Below are 6,418 nucleotides of genomic sequence, written 5' to 3'. Positions count from 1 at the left end.
AATAGGTCAAAGTCTTCTAAAAGCCATACCTGAAGGGTTTTCAATATCACTTGATCAGATGGCAATTTAATCACAGAAAAAAAACACAACAAAACATGCAACTATCAGAGGTTTTCAACATCGCCTCAAAAACACCATCTACAATATTAGGGAGGGAAAGAAGTCATGGAAGTTTCAAAAAGTCAAACTTTATTTCAGTGTTAATGGGAGAAATTTGAAATTCTTAGTTAAGCTATGAATAAATCCTTGGGCAGGTGCAGGCATGGAGATTCTGGGGTGAATCTGCTGAGTTTAAAAGCTTCCTTTGGAGATGCCCCTGGCCCCCTCCACCTGTCAAGAAGAGGCCATCCTATCTGCCTGTCAAGAAGAGGCCATCCTGGGCAGCACAGTAGAGGCAAATGGCCCAGATGCCTAGCTGAGGGCAAACCTCCATGCCTGGAGGAGGAGGTCGCCTCTGGGAGCAGGAGGACCTGCTGGAACCCCTGCTCACAGGCTCCTTTTCTTGCTCTCCAGCACCTCCTGCAGGCATGCAAATACCCCCAGCAGCAGTAGCAGCAGGCTCTTCAGCAGCAGGGCTGCTGCTCTGCTGAATGAGAGAAGTCCCTCTTCAGTGAGGCAGAGGAGCCCAGGTTGCACATCCTGGTCTCTGCCTCCATAGCTTCCACTGTGCCCAGGACTGGGAGCAGTGTGGGAGCTTCTGGCTGGAGCTGTGCTGGTCACCCCTCTCTACCACCTCTAGCTCCAGCCACACTTTCAGCTCCAGGGCTGAGGCCCGTGGCTCTACAGGAGGTGCCATGAAGTCAGGCAGCTCCTCACTGGGCTGGTCCTGGGCAGTCCCAGGGCAGCAGAAGGAGGGCTCTGGAGCTTCCTCTAGCTCCAGCGCTGTCCCTGGAGGGGAATCTGCCCCTGGTGCTGGCACTGGCTCAACAGCTGGCACTGGAAATAGCTGTATTTCTGCACCTGAAGCAGGAGCTGAAAAAGGAGAGAGGTCACCAATATCACTCGCTTTCCACTGGAATTTACAAACATGAAAACAACCTCATTGAATTTAAAGGAATTTCAGCCTGAAAACATTGTCCCTGGAAAGACTTCCAGACTGCAGGTGACCTCACCATGTGCCTGTGTCTCAATGAGCTCCAGAGGCTCCGGCTGGAAAAGGACAATGTGCAGATGTGGCCCTGGTGGGATCACTGGTGAGGCCTGGCCTGCTAGCTCCATCTGGGGCCTGATGTCTACCTGGTGACTCCTGTCCTGTGGTACCTGGTGGGGGGGGGTCGGGGGGGGCTTCTGCCAAATGGCCAGAGGCATCTGGGGTGAGGGATGAGCCTACAAGGGCGTCATCAGCAAAGAAAGGCTCTCACTCCTGCCATTCCTGAAGCCAGAGCCTGGAGATGTGGGGATGCAGCACAAGAACATCTTGCTCTCTTGAGCGTCTCCCACCAAGTGAGCTGGCTACGGGGCTAACTCTAGGATGTGGGTGCCTGGTTATCGGAATTCTTTTTTTTTTTTTTTTTTTTTTTTTTTTTTGAGACATAGTCTCATTCTGTTGGCCAGGCTGGAGTGCAGTGGCATGATCTCGGCTCAGTGCAACATCTGCCTACTGGGTTCAATCACTTCTCCTGCCTCTGTCTGCTGAGTAGCTGGGATTACAGACATGAGACACACAGCACCACACCTGACTAGTTTTTTTGTGTTTGTTTGTTTTCGTTTTTTTTTTTTTTCTGAGACAGAGTCTCGCTCTGTCGCCCAGGCTGGATGGAGTGCAGTGGCGAGATCTTGGCTCACTGCAAGCTCCGCGTCCCGGGTTCATGCCATTCTCCTGCCTCAGCCTCCCGAGTAGCTGGGACTACTGGCACCCACCACTACGCTCGGATACTTTTTGTATTTTTAGTAGAGACGGGGTTTCACTGTGTTAGCCAGGATGGTCTCGATTTGCTGACCTTGTTTGTTTTTTGTATTTTTAGCAGACATGTGGTTTTACCATGTTGGTCAGGCTGGTCTTGATCTCCTGATTTCATGATCCTCCTGCCTCAGCCTCCCAAAGTGCTGGGATTACAGGTGTGAGCCAATGTGCCTGGCCTGGTTACCAGAATTCTTAGTTCTGTTAGGGTCTGTTGGCAAGGAAGTGAGGTCGCTTCTTTAAGTTTCCATCCCCTCGGCCTCCTCCTTCCAGAAAACCTTCTCAGGACCCCAGTGGGCTGCTGACTGCTCACCCTCCCCACAGGTCAACTCCTTACCTGTACACAGTTATGTCCACCCAGGACCTGCTTGGACAACTGCACCTGATGTTCACCAGGGGCCTAGGAATCCACTTGCAGCCTGGGATCCTACAGGGGCCTAATGTTACCCTGCAGATTGGGTAGCCACTTGGAGATCAGGTATCAACCTGGGGACTGTGGTTGACCTGCAGGCTAATGTCCACCTGGGGACTGGTTATTCACCTGAGGCCTGATGCGCACCTGGGGCCGAATGTCCCCCTCAGGGTGAATTCCACCTCAGGCCTGTATGTCCACCTGGGGCCTGATGTCTGCCTTAGATCTGTGTCCCACTGGGGCCTTGTGTTCACCGGGGACTGGTATCCAGCTGTGGCCTGATGATCTACCGCATCCTGTTGCTCACCTATGGGCTGGTGTCTACCTGGGGCTTGGTGATCACCTGGGAGCTGGATATCAACTTGGGGCCTGGGTGTCCACTTAAGGCCTGATGTGGGCCTGGGGCCTGATTGCCCACCCGGGGACTGGGTGTCCACCTGGGGTCTGATGTCCACCTGAAGTTAGGTATCTACCTAAGGCTTGGTGTCTACCTGTGGCCTGATGTCCACATGAGTCTGGGGTTCAGTTGGGGCCTGCTGTACATGTGGGACCTTGGTGTCTATCTGAGTCCTGATGGCTACCTGGTGACTGCCATCCTCTTGAGGCCTGATATCCACCTGGGAATGGTTTATCCATGGAAACGGTTATGTCCACCTGGGGCTGGATGTCGCCCAATGGCTAGATGTCCACCTGTGGCCCCGTGTCCACCTAGTGCCTGATGTCCACCTGGGGCATGGTTTTCACCTGAGACCCGGGTGTTTACATAGGACCTGATGTCCAGCTGGTGCCTAGGTGCCCACCGGGGGCCTTGTGTTAACCTGGGGACTGGTATCCAGCTCGGTCCTAATGAACACCTGGGTTGAATTATTCACCTAGAATTTGGTATTCATTTAGGGCTTGAGTGTCAGCCTTGGACCTGGTGTCCACCTGGGCCTTGGGTATCAAACTAGGGATTTGGTGTCCAGTTGAGACATCATGTGCACCTGGGGTCTGAGTGTTCACATGAGGCCAGATGACCACTGGGGGCCTGAATGTCAACCTGGTGTCAAATTCACTGGGAGCCTAGGTATCCACCTGGGGCCTGATGTCCACCTGGGACTAGGTGTCAACGTGTGGCCTGATGTAAACCTCTAGTTCAGTGTTCACCTTGGGCCTGATGTCCACTGGAGGACTGATGTTCCCCTTTGATCTGATGTCCACCTGGAAACCGTGTATTCACCCATGGCCTGATGGTCACCTGGGGTTGAATGTCCAACTGTGGCCAGATGTGCACCCGGAACCTGGGCATCCACCTGGGGCCTGATGTTTAGCTGGGGCCTGGAGTTCACCTGAGGCATGATGTCCACCTGAAGCTTAATGTTCATCTGAGTGCTGGATGTTCACCTGGCGCCTGATGTCCACCTGGAGCCTGAGGACCCTTCTCAGGCCTGATGTCCACAATTGGCCTGGTATTCATCTGGGGCCTTTGTGTTAATGTGGCCTAATGTACTCCTGGGTTCTAGGGTCCTCTTGGGACCTGATGTCTACCAGGATCCTGGTATCCACCTGGGGCCTGGTATCCACCTAGGGCTTGATATTCACCTGGGGCCTGGGAATCCACTTGATAACTGGTGCCCATCGCGGTCCTGATGTTCACCTTGGGACTGGGTAACCACCTGAGGCCTGATGTCCACTTAGGGCATAAGTGTTTATCTGGGGTCTAGTGTTCACATGGGGCCTGATGTCAACCTTGAGCTTAGGTATTCACAAGAGGACTAGTGTCCAGCTGGGGCCAGATGTTCACTTGGGGCCTGGTGTCAACTTGAAGCATGGTTGTCAACCTGGGACCTGATGTCCAGTCCAGTGTCCGCCTTGGGACTGTTTTCTACCCAGGGCCTGTGTGTCCACATAGACCCTCGTGTCAATGTGGGGCCTGGGTATTTACCAGGGGCCTGGATATTCATTGGTACATTATGTCTACTGGGGTCTTTGTGTCAATCTGAGCTCTGATGTCCACCTAGAGATTGGGTATCCACCTAAGGCCCGGTGTTTACATGGGGCCTGTAACACGAGGTTCCAGATGAACTCAGATGTCCACCTGAGGCCTCATGTCCACCTGAGTTCTGAGTGTTCACATAGGGCCTGCTGTCAACTTGGAACCTAAGTATTTACCTAGGGCCTGGGTGTCCACCTGGGGCCTGACTTCCAACTGGATCTTGTGTCAACATGGGGCCTGATGTCCACTTTGGGCCTAGGTAACTTCCTGACGACTAATGCCCACATGGCTCCGAAGGACCATCTGAGGCCTGGTATTAATTTAGAGACTGGTATCCACCTGGGATCCAGGTATCCACTTGGGACCTGATGTTCACCTGGAGTGTAGGAATTCACGTGGGGCCTGGTGTCCACCTTGAGTGTGTGTATCCAACTGAGTGCTGGTGTCCACCTGGAGTCCAGTGTATACCTGGGACCTGATGTACATATGGGACCTGGGCATCCATCTAGGACCTGATGTTCACATAAGGGCTGGCATTCTCCTGGCCTGGTTCCCATATGGAGCCTGGGCGTACACTTGGAGCCTGATGTCCCAGGTGGATCGCTGGGCCCCAGTTGTCATCAGATCCTAGGAAACTCTCAGGCCCCAGGTGCACATAAAGCTCCAAGTGGCCACCTAGGCCACAGGTTGATACACAGGGTCCAGGTGGACACTGGGTGCAAGATGAACACCAGGTCTCTGGTGAACGCCAAGCCTCAGGTGTCTACCTAGTCCTCAAGTGAACACCAGGCACTAGATTGACACACAGGTACCAGGTGGATATCAGGCCACAGGTGAACACCAGGCCCCAGGTGGTTGGGTTACTTATAGCATAGGTGGCCATCAGGTCCCAGGTCTATAGCCACTCCCCACCTGAAAATCAGGATCCAGGTGGATACCCATGTCCTAGGTGAACACCAGGTTCCAAATGAACATCAGGCTCCAAGTGAACACACAGGCCCCAGTTCAATACCAGCCTCAGGTAGACATCAGGACCCAGGTGGACCCCAGGCCCAATGTGCATGCCTAGTCTCTTGGAATACATCATTTTCAAGGTGGACACCCAGATTCCTGGTAGACCTCTGGTGCCAGGTGGATATCTGGCTGCAGGTGGACATCAGGCCCCAGGTGGAGACCCAGTACACAGGTGTAAATCAGGCTCCAGTATTTCATCAGGCCCCAATTAAACACCTGACTAAAGGTGTGCATCAAGACCCAGGTTGACACCCAGGCTTCAGGTGCACACTAGGCCCAAAGTGTACACCCATGCCCAGGTGGGCATCAGGCCCAAGGTGTACACCAGACCCCAAGTGGACATCAGGTTCCAGGTTGACACCAGTCTCTAGGTAGATCCTTAAGCCCCAATTGGTCATCAGGCCCAAGGTGGATACCTTGACCCCAGGGGGTCACTAGGTCCCAGGCAGGCCTCAGGTGGACACTAAGCCCTAGGTTAACACAAGGTGTGAGCTGGTTTCAGCCCCCATGTGGGCTTTAGTCATAAGGAGCTTACCTAGGCCCTAAGTGGACATCAGGTCCCAGGTTGACACAATGAACCATGTAGAAGTCAGGCTCTAAGTAGACACCCAGGCCCTAGGTAAATACTTTGGTCCCAAGCCATCATCAGGCCCTATGTGGACACCCAGACTCTAGGCAGATGTCAGGCCCCAGGTGAACACTGAACTCAGGGTGGTCTTCAGGCCCTAGGTTGACACATAGGCCTCAGGTAGACAACAGGCATAGGTGAACTTCAGGCTCCAGATGAATGTCGGGCTCCAGGAAGAAGTCTGTGCCCCACTTAAACACCGGGTCTTAGGTAGACATCAGGCCTCAAATGGATGCCCAGGCCCCAGGTGGATATCAGGCCTCAGGCAAACACCAGGCCCCAGGTAGACATTAGACACGAGATGGACACTCAGGCCACAAGTGAACATCTGTCCCCAGGTGGACATCCATCCCAAGGTGGACATCAGGCCAGAGATGTACACCCAGGCCCCAGGAGAACCCCAGGCCCCAGGAGGACACTCAAGGGTCAGAAGGACACCCAGTCCCTAGGTAACTACAAGGCCTCAAATGGACATGATGTTCCAGATGG

General features: G+C 53.7%; 1 pseudogene; it reads right to left on the bottom strand.

Annotated features, from left to right (window-relative positions):
* Positions 1 to 218: 218 nt before the first annotated feature.
* On the bottom strand, positions 219 to 5,699 carry LOC100289194 (fibrous sheath CABYR-binding protein-like; annotated as a pseudogene).
* Positions 5,700 to 6,418: the final 719 nt, after the last annotated feature.

Source organism: Homo sapiens, chromosome 22, assembly GCF_000001405.40.
Source record: "Homo sapiens chromosome 22, GRCh38.p14 Primary Assembly".
In the NCBI taxonomy this organism is placed as follows: domain Eukaryota; kingdom Metazoa; phylum Chordata; class Mammalia; order Primates; family Hominidae; genus Homo; species Homo sapiens.
Note: the sequence above shows the minus strand (reverse complement) of the source record. Positions and strands in the feature narration are given on the sequence as shown.